This window comes from Homo sapiens, chromosome 9, assembly GCF_000001405.40.
Source record: "Homo sapiens chromosome 9, GRCh38.p14 Primary Assembly".
Taxonomy (NCBI): domain Eukaryota; kingdom Metazoa; phylum Chordata; class Mammalia; order Primates; family Hominidae; genus Homo; species Homo sapiens.
This window is the reverse complement of record NC_000009.12, coordinates 98,476,483-98,493,541: the sequence shown is the minus strand read 5'-3', so window position 1 is coordinate 98,493,541 and position 17,059 is coordinate 98,476,483. Positions and strand designations below refer to the sequence as shown.

Genomic DNA, 17,059 nt, shown 5'->3' with positions numbered 1-17,059 from the left:
ACTTGAGATACTTTCCCAGAATTCAGAGGAAATCGCCAAATAGATCAATCCAGTGAGATAAAGGATAACAGTTGTGGATACTGGAGAAGGGAGTTTTCCTAAGGGAAAACCAGGACAAAAGAAACAGAATCAAAATCCAAAACAGTAGAAACAGTAGCAATGAGCACACCTAACACCCAGATTTTGGTTCCTAACACCATTCTCCAGTAAAAGGAACCAGGGCTCCTTAGACAAATGGCTGGTTCTATGGGGCAGGAAATAGACAAGATGATTCTGGAGTATTTTGTAATACCAGAAGGTAAGGAATAACACACATACTGGTGGGGCTGTATCAAGGGAGTACAGTTGCCAATTGAAAGAGCTCCCAATGGCCAAAGCTGGAACAATTTGAACACAAAAAATTAAAGTAGTATTAGAATATAACCCAAAGTATAAAATAAATCTCCACAAGTTTACTATTATGTAAATGATTGACTAATAAATGGGAGAATATAGGCAAACCTCCTACACAGAAGAATTCAAAATAACTTACATAGATACTTCACACTCCAAAGAGGTAGGTCATAACTACACACTTCTTAAGTTACTTCCTTCCAAAGGGTACAGTAGGAGAAGGGGGGATAAAAAAGAATAACTTGACGGTCGAGAAACCTGACAAACGTTCCCTTAGCGAGGCAATCAAGGTCAACATCAGCAGTGATAAGTCACATTGAAAGCTCCCTTGACATGATATGATGGGAATAACTTTACCTCTGTGGTCTTCTTCCCCAAATCCCATAACCCCAGTCTAACCATGAGAAAAACATCAGACAAATTACAGTTGAAGGCCATCCTACAAAATACCTGACCAATACTCCCCCAAACTGTCTAGTTCATCAAAAATAGAGAAAGCCTTAGCCAAAAGGAGCTGAAGGAGGCATGACAATTGAATATAATGTGGTATATTCTAGATGGGATCCAGGAATAGAAAAAGGATGTTTGAGAAAAAGACTAAGGAAATCTGATTAAAGAATGGGTGTTAGCTAATAATAACATCAATATTTATTCATTGTGACAAATGCACAAAATACTAATATAAAACATTAATAATAGGGAAAACTGGATGAGGGGTTGTATGGGAACTCTGTATATAGTCTCCACAATTTTTCTGTTTTCAAATAAGAATTTTTTTTTTTTTTTTTTTTTTTTTTTTACTAGGAAACAAACTTAAGCGGGCTCAAGACAGACCTAGTACTGTAGATTGGGCCATACAAAATTTCCATTATTCTACAGTTTTTGAACTACAACAATTTTATATGGAAATGTACAGACTATATGAGCAAACTAGCCAGCTTCTGCATTCTAGCATAACTGGTGAAAAGAGAGTCATACTTAGACAGGTTTTGCCAAAATTTTGACATACTTAGTGGAGAAAATCTTACAAATATCTAGGCCAGGAAAAAAACAAACTTCCCATAGAGATGCAAAAACCAGGCCACTCTCTGACTCCTCTGAAGCATTAAATCCCAGAGACAGTGGAGCAACTGGGAGGTATTCTGCACTGTATGGGGCTCACACGATGTTCCAGCCAGGTCCCCTTCTTGAAGCTAATCCTGAAGTCTGATGTCAACCAGCCAAAAGCGATGGCATACTTTACAGCTGAGGTCATGACAGAAACGGCTGAGCAGGGATCATTGGAACCCATGGAAGGAAAGCAAAGTCTAAATAATTGTTATAAAAGTGTATGCAGATGCAAAAATTACATATAATTTTATACATAATGCAAAAATAGATACGGCAATAGGCATAATTGAGATATAAAAATCCAAATTACCTTCACAGGCCTAAGAAGAGATGAATTTTTTAAAAGAAGGGTGCTTAACTCCTGGTGTTAACTAGGAGAGGGACTCAAAAGAGACCATTTTGCTCATGAGTTTCATAATTAGGTAGATATAAGCTAAAGAATGCTTTGAATGACTCAGTGGTAAATATACCATAATGCAAACAGAACCTGAAGCTGCAGAAACACAAAAATAAAACAAAGGAAATCTCATCCATGTTTCGAAACAGAAAACAAACATGAAAACCAGAAAGCACAAAACAGATCAGTGCAGACCACATATAATGATTCTGACCAGAAGTTCAAATAGGCCAAACTCATTATCAAAAGGAAGAGACTTTCAGATTGTGTTTCAAAAAACGAACTCTAGCTATTTACATCAGATAAACAAAGTGACACTGAAAGGTTGAAGGTAAAAGGTTGAGCAAAGGTCTACCAAGCAAGTCAAACTACAGCAAGAATCCCAGTATTCATATCAGACCAAAGCGTGTTCAAGATACAGGTGTCAAACAGGATTAAGGAGAGTCCTTTTCTATAGATAAGGCTTCAATCCACCTTGAGAATAACATGCTCACGGACTATTATTGCTTTAAATTACATCTCACTGAAATAAAGAAAGAAAAGCCTGTTAAAAATAGAGACGGAAATTGACAGAAACACAATAGCATTGGGAGGCATAACATCTCTCTCTCACTCTTGGACAGTTCACCCAGGCAAAAAAAAAAAGGCAAGAGCACAGAGGAACGGAATAATGAAATTAATAAGGCTGATTTAGCAGATGTGTATCGAAATTTGTATCAAGAAAGTCAGGAAATACCATTTCTGTGTGATGAAGTCGCGAGGCCCTTTAAGCTCATTCCAAGCCTGTTCTGAACAGGGGGTGGCTAAAGTTTAGCTGTTTCCAGGCGGGGCTGGGAAGCTGCTCTGCACAGAGACCACGTCCTGGGCACTCATAGGGAGAGTTCCAGGTGTCACATTTCCCTTTCTGGACATTTCAGTTGCTTCATGCACCTTCCCCAAAGTGGCCTTCTGCCCTATATTCATATTTCCATTTGTTGGAGGAATATGTGGTACATTATTTCAACCATGGGGCATCCACAGACCCTTATGTCTGGAATTGACATGGGAGGGGCAGTTGCCTCAGTTCAATCCGGGTGCTCTGGAGACCAAATATTTTTGTGGAAAGAGCAGGAACTTTTAAAGAAAATCTTTTATTGTAAAATCAAACAACAATTTGAAAGCCACAGAAATCAAATGAATGTCTAAATGAATCCTAAGGCAAACAGCACACAGGTCAGAGAACTTTATCAGATACCCCAAAAGTCCCTTCTATCCACAGCCCCCTGCCCCCACCATCAGGAACCCTATGCCCTACTTTTACAGAAATCATCAGCAGTCTTTATTCCTTTTTTTTGTCAGAACTCAGAAAGTATAGGGAATGCTGTTCTAGTTGTGACCCTTTTTTTTTATTGTAGTAAAATATATGTGACATAAAATTTACCATTTTAACCATTTTTAAGTGTTCAATTCAGTGGCATTAAGTACATTCACAGTGTTGTACAACCATCCCATTATCCACTTCCAGAACTGTTTCATCATCCCAGACAGAAACTCAGAACAGGGGCTTTGCGTGTAGGTGTGTTGCTCTGTCGCCCAGGCTGGAGTGCGGTGGCACGATCTCGGCTCACTGCAACCTCCACTTCCTGGGTTCAAGTGATTCTCCTGCCTCAGCCTCCTGAGTAGCTGGGATTACAGGTGCCCTCCACCAAGCCTGGCTAATTTTTGTATTTTTAGTAGAGATGGTGTTTTACCATGTTGGCCAGGCTGGTCTCAAACTCCTGACCTTAGGTGATCCGTCCGCCTTGACCTCCCAAAGTGCTGGATTACAGGCGTGAGCCACCTGTGCCAAGCATAACAGGGGCTTTTGAATCAAGTAGACCCGGGGTTGGACTCCGTCCCTGCCTTGGTGTCTTCCTCTGTAGAGAGGGCACTGGGCCATCCCAATTGTGTGATGGTCGCCGTAGGCAGACTGTTGGGCTCTCTCGGGGGCTGAAAAATCAGTAGTTGATATTACGTTCGAAACTTGAGAGATGCTGGAATAGAGAAAAGACTAAATAATAAAACACTAAATAATAAAATTAGAGAATTTCAGGGAAAGAAGCCATGGAACTCTCTATCTTTTAATGAATATCTTAAAATGATAACAAAGGACTTTCTAAAATCCAAACTTTGAGACAGTAAGCAAAGCTGAAAGATTGTGAGCAATTCATTTAGGGTCTCTGGGCCCACAGAGCTTCCCTATTGCAGGTGAATTTACCAGAGGAGTCAAGAGCCTTGCTTGCCTGCGTCAGCGCTGTGCCAGCAGCCACCTCTTTCCAGAGGGCTCCTCTTCTCTCTCTCCATCTTATCACAGCCTCTTCTTCTGACCTCATCCAACGCTTCTGCTTCAACATCAAAGGAGGACACTTTTAAGCACTCCCTTTGTGCCCACAGATTCATGAATTCACTTCATCCCCACAATAACTCTACAATAGCAGTCAGCAAACTACAGCTCATGGGCCAAATCCGGCCTACTCTCTGTGTTTGTAAATAAAGTTTTATAGGAACACATTCATTTACCACAACGTCCTTGGCTGCTTTTGTGCTACAGCGGCAGAACTGAGTAATTGCAACAGAGACTATATGGCCTATGAGACCAAAAATATTTACTATCTGGACCTTTATAGAAATTGTTTGCCACCACCTGCTCTGAAGATAGGTACTATTATTATCCCCATTTTATAGGTAGAGAAACTGAAGCTCACGAAAGTTTAATAACTTGCCTGAGGCCATGAAGCTGATTAAGTGACTGAGCTGAGATTCTAGCTCAGCAGTCTAGCTACAGACTGGCTCTTAACCTCCACGGCATGCCTCCCAGCTTCGTGTCCACCCACACTCCTCAGTCAGCATAGCCTCTCAACATTCCAAGGTTACTCATACCCAACATTTTTAAATGACCTGTCTCCCCCCATTTCTTCTTAGTAACAAAACAGGAATGAAAGGGCTTTGCAACTTACTTGCCTTAAGTGGAGGAGCGGTTAAAAAAAAAAGTGCTAGGGAATGACAGAAAGACAGAGATAAGCAGAAAGCTCTCATCTTTATTTTTTATATTGATGCAATATTTGGGCCCCAGTGCAACATCATGAAGACCCTCTAAATTGAGCCAGGCTTTCTACTCTTAAAAAAGGAAAAGAAAATATGTCTGTGCCATTTAGAGCCATGTTTGGCTTTCTTTTTTGAGTGACTCACAAAAATAGCCCAATTCTCCAACAATATTAGTGGGGATCCTTATGCCTCACATTAAGGGGACAGCTTTGACCAGAAAAGCTACTCGACTAGTCAGCAACAACTGAGTGTCCTAGAACCCCAGCAGAGAGAGGAGGGAGACAGGATAAGCCCAAGGTAAGGCCTTTCCAGAGAGGGAAGTGTCTTCATTTCCCATTGCTGCTGTGAAAATCTGAACAGCTTCAAGCAACACAAATTTATCTTACTGTCTGGAAGCCAGATGTCCTACATGGATCTTGACAGGCCAACATCAAGGTGTCAGTGCGGCCAAGTTCCTTCTGGAGGCTCTAGTTCCAGTATCTAGAGGCCACCTGCATCCCTCAGCTGGCATCCCCTTCCTCTATCTTCAAAGTGAGCCATAGTCAGTGGAGCCTTTCCCACACTGTATCACTGTCTCTGCCTCGGCCATGTTTAAGGACCTTGTGAATACATGAATACATTTAAGGACCCTGTGAATACATTATCACCTGGCTAATCCAAGAAAATCTCCCTATTTTAAGATCAGCTGATAAACAACCTTAATTCCATCTGGAATGTGAATTTTCCCTTTACCACGTGACATAACGTACTCACAGGTTCTGGGGATTAGGATGTGGCCTTTTTTGGGGGACTGGGGGAGTGGGGACAGGGTCTCACTCTGTAACCCAGGCTGGAGTGTAGTGGTGTAATCACAGCTCACTGCAGCCTCAACTTCCTGGGCTCAAGCAATCCTCCCACCTCAGCCTCCCAAGTAACTGGGACTACAGGCATGCACCACCATACTCAGCCTATATATATATATATATTTGTAGAGACAGGGTTTCTCCACGTTTCCCAGACTGGTCTTGAACTCCTGAGCTCAAGTGATTCTCCTGCCTTGGCCTCCTAATGTGCTGGGATTACAGGCATGAGCCACTGAGCCCAGCCAGGATGTGGCTATTATTCTGCCTGGCATAAGACAACTACAAAGGTAGGCTTTGAGAGGACTGCCCTTCCCTTGCTCCATGGTAAAGTCCTAGTGGGAACTGTGCTCTCCCTCTTGACTCTGGCCAAAAAAAAGTCCTTAGGGAATTGACCCCCTTTTTTCCCAACCAGATAGGAGAGACCTGATGAGAACTGCCACTCCCACAGGCCAGGAGTCCATCCTGACTGCCTGAAACTGAAGTTCATACAGGCACCCCAAGGGGACGCAAAGCTGCAGAATACACATGGTGCATCTTTCTCACAGGCCAGGTTTGCTCAGAGACATGGAGACGAAAAGGTATTATTTTTAACTTACGACATAGATATATTATTAGAGTGTTAAATATACATGAATTTTCAAGATACAAGAATAAACTTTAAAGAAATGCCATGCTTTCCACTGGGCTGCTGTGGGCTATTCCCTCTTCGCTCCCTTCCTTGAGAGTGAAGCGTATGCCTTCACTGCCTTTACGGACAGAGTGAAGCATATGCTTCTCTGCCTTTATGGACATTTCCAGTGGGGGGTGGGGTCTAAGTAAGACAAATTTTAGCTAAATAAAAGGGACTACTCATTGTGGGTATGGGATCAGTTTGTCAGAGCCAGGAGGGACTTTGGAGAACATTCTAGGCTGAACTTCTAGGGCCCACTCCAAGTCTACAGCCAGACAGTTGGGGCACAGGACTGGCCTGGGCTTCCGAAGCCTTAGGCAGTGCCCGCTGGCCCAGGTCATGGCCAGCCTCTAACAGCTCAGCTGCCTTAGGGGTTTATAGCATCTCCTCTCTTTATATAGCATTGTGACATTTGAATTTTCAGCAGCCCAGCACAGTAGGTAGTCTGCGAGGCTAGGCTCTGAGAAACCAGGATGCCATTGAGTGGACCTAGACAGATGCATGGGTGGCAGGAGATTCCAGACAACCCAGAGGTCAGGGTCAGGCTCAGGGTCGAGCTTGACCTTCCTTGCAAGAGTCCATGCTCCACAGGCAAGGAAGGCTGGCTGGAGGGCGTGGTCCCTCATCTTCCTCACCTCTGCTGTCCTGCACTCTTAAATGCACACCAGCAATTTCAGTGGCTCAGGATTGCATTTGCCATTTATATCCTTTCACTTCAACATCTGCATGACTTTTCTCAGTTAGCTGTTGCTGCAGATTGAGTGCTGAGCTCCAGCAGCTCAGACCCAGTGGGGTTTGCATCCTCAACTGGGAGGCGGTAGATAGGAGCGAGGAGTCAAGCACTCAGGCTCTGGGACCACACCCACCCGGGGCAAGGCCAGTGCCACCACCTCCTATTTGTGTGACCTGGCATCTTAGGTTGAAGTCCCTACAAACAGAGCCTGAGATGCTTGGGAAAGTAATTTATTGTGGAAGTACTCAGGAGAAGGGGAGGGAAGCAGGATGAGGCAGGAGGAGCTCTGTCTTGGATGGATACCAGTTTAGCCTGGCCCCACAGGGGTCTCCGGAGCACAGACAGCACCACAGAGCTGATCCTAACTTTCAGCAGGGGGGCCGGAGTTTTCCACCAATGTGAGTCAGTTGTTGGTTGCTCTCTGTGGGGTGTGGGGCATGGAGTGGCTCCCATGGCCAGGAAGCTCCCCTTAGCTGAGGGCAGTTCTCCAGAGAAGGGAGTGAGCTGTCAGCAGCCCACCCTCACTGCAGCCGGGCGGGTGTACCAGCCCCAAGGAGGGGACTGCACCTGGGAAGTTTGCTTAATTCTTTGGACCTTGCTTTGCTCATGAATCTTTCCAAAGTGAGCATAATAACAGCGCCCACCTCCCAGGGTGGGGCTGACGGACTGTTTAGCACAACAGCTCAGAAAGGGCTTGAGAGTTGTTATTTTTATGATGTTAGGATTGCTTGCAAACTGGGGGTACATGCTAGTTCTTTGAATTGGGTTATCCTTGCTAAGTGTCATGTGCGTGCGTGAGTGTGTGTGCGTGCCTGTGTGTGTGTGTGCCTGCGTGTGTGTATGTGTGTTTAGCTCTCTTTAAGCATCCCAGAGACAAAGTGGTTCTAGATGAGGGATGAGACAGGGTCAAGAAAAAGAAAAGGAAAGCTACCCAGGGTTTGGCAACATTAGACTCCTCTCCAGAGGGAGTTTAGTGGGCCTCTCCCTCACTCATCCTGTCACTGTTGGGGGTTTGGGCTGAATACCCCTCCCCATTTTCCTACCCCATTCCCACCGCTGTTTCCTTCCACTTTTGCCCCTTTCTTGTGATAGTAGCCTCTTGAGGGTGTGAACATAGGTCTCCATGTATGGTCTCCAACCCTAGACCTGGCCATCTCATTTGCCCCAACTCAGGTCATCTGCTTTCACTCCAGGAAGCTCCCTGCAGAGCCAAGTCCCTGGAAGGGCACAGGATTTTCCAGACCCTGCCCTCTGCCACGTTTCCAGTCCTTTGTGATATCACAGCTCTGATCTGTCACTGTCATCCTCAGGGATGGTTATGGCTGCCCCTCCCTACCCCCTACTACTGCCTAAACTGCCCCAAGCCCTTTCAGCATAAGAGAATGGGCCCATACCCTGGCAGGGAGGCAGGGGGCTTGTCTGAAAGCAGGGGCTACTGCTATTCCCAAATTTCTTCTTTCTACTCTCTGGACTTTCAGGAAAAGATACAAGCTATGCAACATTGAAAAGCATGATTCTGGAACTTTCATGAGAGCATGCACATGTGTGGAAAAACTATTAAGATTCCCCAAATCCAAAACCTTTCCCCTAACCCCTGAATCTTCCAGTAAGTTGCTACTTTAGAAAGGAGAACGCAGTATATCTGCACTTCCTACACTCGGGACACCTCCTCGTGCTCTAGAATGCACATACCCTAGTTTGAGAAGCACCTCAAACTGTTTATACTGCTCTATGGTGCCCCCCAAGATCCCCATCCAGCCTCATCCCCCGTTTGGCCTCTCCCCAACCCTGGATTCCGGGCTGCTCCTCCTTCCTTCCAGACTTGGCAGCGTCTTTCCCCCTCTTTCTCACCGTCTAGAAGCAGAGTATGTGTTCACAGCTTCCTGCAGCAGGCATGACCTGGCTCTGCATAGGATCTGTCTCCAGGGCCCTCTAATGGTCAAGGAGAACCAAAGTGAGAGCTCTGGCTTTCATTTTGGTTCTGTGGAGCCCTGGGAGAGCTTGTACCTCTCTGGGAAGAGATTAGCTAGATGGGGGATCCCACGGGCCCCATCCAAATCTAACAGCCTGGGAGCACTGAACAAAGTGGTCCTTGCAACTCGGTTGTCATAGCAACAAAGACACCAAATGGTTCACAAGTGGCAGAGCTGGTTATTTAACTGTCAGCAGGTGGTCAGGAGGTCAGCTATGAAGATGTGGGTCCCTCGATCTACTCAAGAAGTGGACATGGTGAGCCCAGGGTCTAGACCATGGGGTTGGTCAGATATTAGTGCAGTGATGATAATGGCTACTAGTGACCAAATAAGCAGCGTAGGCCAGGCATTGTGCGTGATGCTGCACACTGGATTAATTCACTTCATCGTGCATTCAACACATATTTGTTGACATATGTGTAGCGCCCTGTTCTGGGAGCTGGGGACTTAGAGATAAGTCAAGTTACGCTTACTTCAGTGGGGAAGACAGACAAGTAAGTGGACTTGAGCCACATTGGAGGCAAGCACAGGGTGATCCAGGCTCACAGAGGAAGAAGTGGCCACCAAGCCTGATGGGGCAGAGAGATGGTTTCTCAGAACAGAGGAGCCTGGGCTAAGGTAGGAAGGGTGAGTAGCAGCTGTGCGGGCAAAGTAAGTGGGAGGAGAGGGAAGGGCACTCTGGAGGGATAGACTTGCAGAATGGGTGGGGGGCGAAGTGGGAATATGAATAAATGAATGAATGAATGCAGTCCTGTTTTAGGACTCACTGCCAAGGCAGGGTATGAGAAATGTGATAGAGAATTGAGCACAAGTCAGTTGGTAAAGACTGCATAGGATCTTTACCATCTCTATCTTTAGCACATCTTGAATGTGCTAAGGAGCTCAGTGTTTGATCTGCAAACCTCAGGAAGCCATGGACAGATTTCACACAATCAGACTTGAATCTAGGAATGAACCCTTCCTCTGCTCTGTGGCGATGGGTGGATGGGGCAGGATTCATGGCAAGGGTGCAGGGAGGCTGTTGCTGTTCACTGAGTAAGGAATGATGGTAACCAAACTCAGGGCAGTGGGGCTGGAGGGTTGGGACTGATTAAGGAGCTAGTTGTGAGCAGACAGAACCAACAGATTCCAGTTATGGCTTGGATGAGGGTTGAAGAAGAGGAGTGAGTCTAAGATGACTCCCAAGTTCCTGACATTGTCAGAAATGGAAAACACAGGAGGAGGAAAGGGCCTCTTGGGAAAGCTGGTGGATTCAGCTTGGGACATGTTGCGCTGGAGGTGCCTGAGAGAATCCAACTGGAAGAGTCTGGTGGGAAACTGGAGAAAATCTGAGGCTGGGGGGAGAGATTTGGAGTCCACAGCACACAGAGAACAGTTGTGGCTGGGGTCATGAACTAGGTGGCCCAGGGAGAGTGATGGGAGCAAAGAGCTAAGGACAGAACACCAGCATTTAGGGATGGGCAGAAAGGTCAGGAGCTGATGATGAGGAGTATGAGCAGGAGTGGCCAGGCAGGCACGAGGGGAGCCAGCAGAGAGCAGCATGGAAGCCACCGGGTGAGTTTCATTATGATGAATTGACAACCACTGGGCAAGGTAGATAGGATTATCCCTTTCTCAGAGATGAAGGAATTGAGGCTCCAGGAGATTAAGAAGCAAAGTTTTCAGCTAATCAGAGGTGGAGCTGTGATTTGAACCCAGGTCTCTGACTTCAAAATCTAATAAGCTGTTTTTACCATACCATGTTTAGCAACACAGGGTTTGGCACAAAGTAGATGATCAATAGATACTTGCTGGATGAAAGGATGGATGGATGCATGGGTACTGTCAGCAGCAAAAAATGCTAAAAATTTTTAACGAACAAGCAGAAAGATCTTGGAGCATGCCTGGAAGCAAGTCCACAGAACGGAAGCAGCTTAGAACTTTTTATAGCATTGCAGACGTGGTGATGACAAAGGCTTGCCTTCCTTCCACTGCTCTGTTAACGATCTTTTAAAGTCCTTTCAGAGCCAGTGTTTTTTTTCCCCTCTTCTTTCCATTCTTGCTTGCAAACGAAAGATGATTTTAGAATCCAGGCCTTCTTTATTTTGCTAAAGTACATGATGAGTAAAATGGCCTCTCAGTCAGCACTTTCCAATTTTGAAAGATGCTAAAAACTGATCTTTAAAAGCATATTTTTCTACTTTATGCATCAAAGGGCCATGAGGCCTGCTGGAGGGGATGGATGAACTGCAGGAAGGTGGCACCACCTGCAAGGCTGGGCCTCACTGTGGAGGGCAGGAAGCGGCTGGGATGGGGAGCAGGTGTTTGGGCCAGGGCCTGGCTGGTCTCCTGGTGGCCGCCCCACCCGTTCTCTTTCAGCCTGTTCTTCTCCATGGGACAGGACGCAGCTGGATCCCAATGCCCCAGAAAGCAACAAAGACCCCATTTACCTGACCCATGAGAGCCTCTGGCTGATGCTCAGTAATTGTCTGTTGAATGAATGAATGAGTCACAGGGGTCACTGTACACATTCCTATTAACCACACTGAGATAATGAATGTAATCCCATGTATAGAGCTTTCAAAAATAGATTTTCCTTAGAAATAAAGGTGGACACTCACTATGTGCTAGGCACTGTGTTAAGCACTTTACAAGGACTATTTCACTTAGTCTTCCCAGAAATCCGGTAAGGAACGTACTACCATTATCCTCATTTTGCAGATGAGGAAACTGGGGCTGAGATGGAAAAGGAGCGACCAGAGGCCACCCATGGTTTGTTGGTAGAGCTGAGATGCGAACAAAGCTCAAAGCAAGTCTGAAACCTCTTAATTGGGAAGCTCTGTAGGCTCCAGGAATTTCTTGAGGGATTAACTATCAGGAAGGTAGAAAGGGCTAGAACACTGTGCAGGGCAGCAGAGTGTGGTTGGCTGGGGTCTTGTCTCTGCCACAAACTCCCCAGGGGCCTTAGAAGCTCCTTTCTCCTCATCTGGCCTCAGTTTTCCTATATGTAAAGTGTGGAAGAAAGTTAGATGATGCTTCCATGGACTGCAGGATTTGCCTGCCCTGGTGGGAGGAGAACAGGGGAGGTTGCAAGGCCCCTGAGAGCAGTCAGCTTTAGCCTCCAGCCTGTACAGACTTGCCCTAGGGCTTGCCCATGAGACCAGGGTGGACTGACTGCAGGAGCCACAGGAAAGCCAGCCCTGGAGAGGGCTAGAGAATCCAGGCTGGGCTGGGGTTGGGGGTGAGGTTCTGCCCTGCCCACCTTCCCAGGCAGAGCTCTGGGCTAAGAGCCAGAGGTGAAGGAATGTTGTCTGCCACAGCCTTGAACCCTTTATGGGGTGCTGAACATCTACTCACCTTCATGATGTGTCCTTCCATCCACAGGGGAATGATGTGCGGATCATCCTTGGCCAGTTTGACCAGAATATGGCAGCAAAAGTGTTCTGTTGTGTAAGTAAAACAGTTGTATCATTCGTGTCTTTGGGGAGGTTCACGAAGCTTTTTCCCATACTCATTATCTCCCTGCTCAGTCTGTGAGTGGGATCACAGGACTGGAGCCTGGGTTCCTGGAAGCAGAAGAGTTGCGTTCACTGTTCTTTCCTCTTTCCAGGGAGCTAAAACCCCAGGGCTCAGAACAATACCATCATCGAGGAACCAGGGACCTCAGTCTAACCCATAGTCTAAGCCTTGTTGGCTAATTCTAAGTCTGCTCAACTTAGCCAGGGAGATACCAGAAATCAGGGTGAGGCTGAAGTGACTCAGACCCCCTCCCTGCCCTGTAGGTAGGGCTCAGAGTCTTAGGTTAGGGACAAATTATCAACTATTGATTTTCTCCTCCTGAATCCTTTACAGCTGTCTAGTGACAGATGACAAAGGTGACCTTTTTATGCCTTATCTCATTTAATCTTTTCAATAACCATGTGAAGCAACTATGATTTTCCCATTTTACAGATGAGGAAATAGAGCTCCATAGAGTAAAGGGACTTGTCCAAGGGCCCTCAGCCAATTCATGGCAGAGCCAAGGCTCCATCCCCATTAACCTGATCCCCAATCTAGTCTCTAAAAAAAAAAGGTTTTCTCCATATGACTTCTAGCTTAAGTTAGATGTAGGGGACAGAACACAGGAACTAAGTCAGTTTCCATTTTGATGTCCCAGCTCCCAATCCTCCCCATCATGTCAGGAGAAAAGTCAACAAAATGAAAGCCCAGGCAGGTGAGTCACTGTCTGCCCAATAAGCTTCACCTTTTAGACTGAGGTCATTCTAGGCGTAGTGTCTGGTGACGGGCCGCAGATCTCTGATCTTTTTGTCAGTAATGTGGATGAGGTTATAAATAGGAATTCTAGAAATCATGAAATACATTGGATGACAGAGTTTGAGTGCAAAGAACTTTAACAGGTTGGAATGTTTGATTAAATCCAAGCAGAGTAAATGGTCCTAACATATTATATTAGAACAAATGAAGCTGCCTAAGTCCAAGTGGTAGAGGGATAGCTGAGGAGTACTGTGTGTTGAGAAGAGAAGGGACTTTGGATGTTCCAGATGACCCCCAGTTTACTACCGGGTCTGGCAACTAAGGTCATCAGCATGAGCACAGTGCCAGAGAGCCGAGGTGACCTCAAATTGCATGTCTACACCCAGGGCAGGGTAGTCCCTCTGCTCTTTGCTGGAGAGACCCCACCTAGGGAGACCTGCCCAGCTCCTGGTGGCCTGTTTTGGACAGATGTAGGAATTGAAAAGAGACAAGCAGCGAGGATAGGGTAGTGGCTGCAAGCCGTGGTCACGTGTGGTTATTTGAACCTGAAGGCTCAGGAGCAAAACGAGAACTGTCCGATCATCTTCTGATTTAGCCGGGAGAAGGGAGAGGCTGTGAGGCTGACATTTCAGGGGATCTTGGATGGAGGCTGGCACTCAGGAGCCAATCAGCTTGGGCTTGAGTCCCTGTTCTGCTACTTATTATTGAAGTTGGGTATGTTGTTTACACTCTCTGAGCCCCAGTTTCTCATCTGTAAAATGGGGATTGTAACACCTGTCTGATAAGATTGTTGAGCAAAAACCCTCTGCATAGTACCTCATGTACAGTGAACCCTCAGCAGATACCAGCCATCTTTTTTTGGTTGTTTATATAGGGTCTCAGGTGTCCAAAGATGGAATGGGCCACCATTTACTGGCAAGTTTTATGGGTAGATTCCACAAAATTGTGTTAAGCATTCTATTTATCAGTGGAGAGTAGCAAGAGGTCTTTCCACATTGAAATCGAAGGAGGACCATGAGAAAAATAGAAAATATAGAGTGAATAGATATAAAAATTTTACTCCAAAACTCATAAAACCTTGCTGCTTACTACGTAGGGTCCAGAAATAACCCACTTTAAAAAGGAAAATAATGGTCCAAATTTGAGAGCGTGCTTTCTTTTACAAAAGAAACTCGGTATCCCCTCTCCAGTATCCCCAGGGCCTTGCAAGGAGCTGGTACATGGTGGGTGATTGGTGTTGATCGAATGAGGAAAACAAATAACTTCAGAAAAAATAAATTAATAAAAATGATCTATGAAGATGCCACACCAGACCCTGGCCACCTCCAGTTTGCAAGAAACATAGATGGGCCTTATGTTCTGATTTAAGCCAAATCAAAGCCCAGGTGTGACTGTGATCTCACTCTGCCACGCACTGGGGTGAGTTTCCAAGTGGCTTTCCCAGCCATGGTTTCTGCTTCTGAACAGATGGCATGGCTGTCTACCTTTCAACCCAAAGCCCCCTGGCTTGTCTGCCTTCCACATGGTACGGGGACATCATCCCACCTTCTCATCCCATTTTCCTCTTCACTCTTGTTAGTTTTGGCATTTTGAGATGAGGTTTCTCTTAGAGTCTTCACTTGCTGCCCCATTCCGAGGAGTTTCTCAGAGGCTTTGGGCTGGGTATAGTGTCCATGTGTTGGGTCCCCAGATGGAATCTGCCCTCAAGGACTTATGGTCTTGTCTGGTTGGGAAGGAGTTCTTCTGGAAGGTCCAGAAGGTCCTAAGGAGACTGTTCAATGTTTTCACGCTGGATCAAGACTGATAAGTGACAGAGGGAGGGGACGCTCAGAGCAGAGGCCCCCAAGAGAGCCTTCCGATCTCTATTGGAGTCAGAGCAGAGACCACATGGAAACAACCATGTCTCTGCCATCCAAATGCTGCCCTGGAAACTTTACAGCGTGTTGCTGTGTTCTTGAGATTGGAACTGCCACCCAATGGGATCGCAGACTCCAGCAAATGCAAGGCCTATTTATAGCCCTGTGGCAAATGTTCATTTTGGCATCAGCACAGTATGAGCATGGCATGTTGCTTTTGTCTTCTCCTCTGTCCTCAGTGGTCTGTTCTAAATTCTCAAGCACTCTAATGTGGGTTCTGGTTTTAGCTCTGCCAGCTGTGTGACCTCAATCAGGTCGCTTTACATCTCTGGTCCCCAGCTGCCTCATCTCTGAAATGGAAGCAATGATCCGTACCCTGTCTGCTTCATGGGGTTGTCGAGAGGCTTAAATGAGGCCACCAAAGGGAAAGCTTCATCCTAACTGTTAACTGCCTTACTGATGCGAGGGTTTATTACTATTATTGTTGTAAACCTTAATATAAAAAGGAAACGTCTTTCTTGCATGGGGAGTGGAGGAGGCAAAAGGAAACTTAATTAAATGATGAAATTAGATTTTTTTTTAAATTGTGTCATGGCTACATGTATACAGCTAGTAAGAACCAAAGGGGTTCATGGGGCTGAACCGTGTGAACTCAGGATGGCCCACTCTCATGCAATAGTACCCGTTTGTCAGTCATAGGTCCTAAGACCACATTTCTACCAGATGCAGAGAAAATGGAGGTGTGGTGGCTCATGCCTGTGATCCCAACACTTTGGGAGGCCAAGGCTGGAAGATAGCCTAAGCCCAAGAGTTAGACCAGCCTGGGCAGCATGGCAAGACCTCATCTCTACAAAAAATTTAAAAATTAGCTGGGCGTGGTATCATCTGCCTGTATTCTCAGCTACTCAGGAGGCTGAGGTGGGAGGATTGCTGGAGCCCAGAAGTTCGAGGCTGCAGTGACCCATGGTCATGCCACAGCATTCCAGCCTGAGTGACAGAGACAGACCCTGTCTCAAGAAAAAAGAAAACAAAAATCAAGGTGACCAAGTAAATTAGAAATGCATTCATTCGGTCGGTCCACAACCGTTGATTGAGTAGCCCCTGTATACCAGGCACTGTAGAAAGCCCTGGGGCTCCAGGAGAGAACTGGCATGGCCCCACCCTCCCAAAACTCCCCAACTGGCAGAGGAGACAGAGAAGCATACCAGTGCCTAGTTAAAACTCATGTGTCCAACAACCTCAGCCCTTCTGACCATAGGAATACTGCAATGGAGTCCTGGAGGCATTTCCACAGTTGCATTAGACAATGGATGATCTATCCAAGCCCAGTCTACCTCCCTTGCAGGAGAGCCTCACTCAAAGCCTGCTTGCTTTTGCTCTACAAATATGCTTAGCAATCTAGGCGCCCTACTTTCCAAGTCTATAGCAGTTTAAAAGCAGCAAATTCAGAGTGAGGCAGAGGAACTTGATGATAGTGAAAAATGACAGTGTAGAACTGACAGCTAGAAAGGAGACAAAAAGCCATGAAAAGTGGATCCAAAGTCTAAGTACAACTGTCTGGGGCCATCTGGTGTTTGGGGCAGTCTTCTCTAAGCCCAAGAACATAGCCCAGAACAGTGACTTATGTTCAGAATGAAACTATGGGTTACCAAGAGGAGAAGAGAATGAGAAGGGGCAGCTAAAATGTTTCTGAACATAGTGTTTGCCATGCATGATACACAAATTATCTCATTTAATTCTTAAACCAGTACAGTGAGGCAGGCTTTGCTTTCCTCTGTCTGTCCATGGG

The 17,059-nt window shown here is 46.0% G+C and overlaps 1 protein-coding gene across 4 annotated transcripts in view; it reads left to right on the top strand.

The window, feature by feature from the left end:
- The window catches only part of GABBR2 (gamma-aminobutyric acid type B receptor subunit 2), a 420,827-nt gene that overhangs the window by 215,394 nt on the left and 188,374 nt on the right, over positions 1-17,059 (top strand). For 3 of the 4 annotated variants that reach the window (NM_005458.8, XM_017015331.3, XM_005252316.6), the window contains one exon: positions 12,545-12,610. In NM_005458.8, coding sequence (NP_005449.5) covers positions 12,545-12,610 — 66 coding nt within the window. Of the gene's footprint in view, positions 1-6,205; positions 6,384-12,544; positions 12,611-17,059 lie in introns of those variants that run through there. The other variant, XM_017015332.3, reaches the window with a different exon arrangement.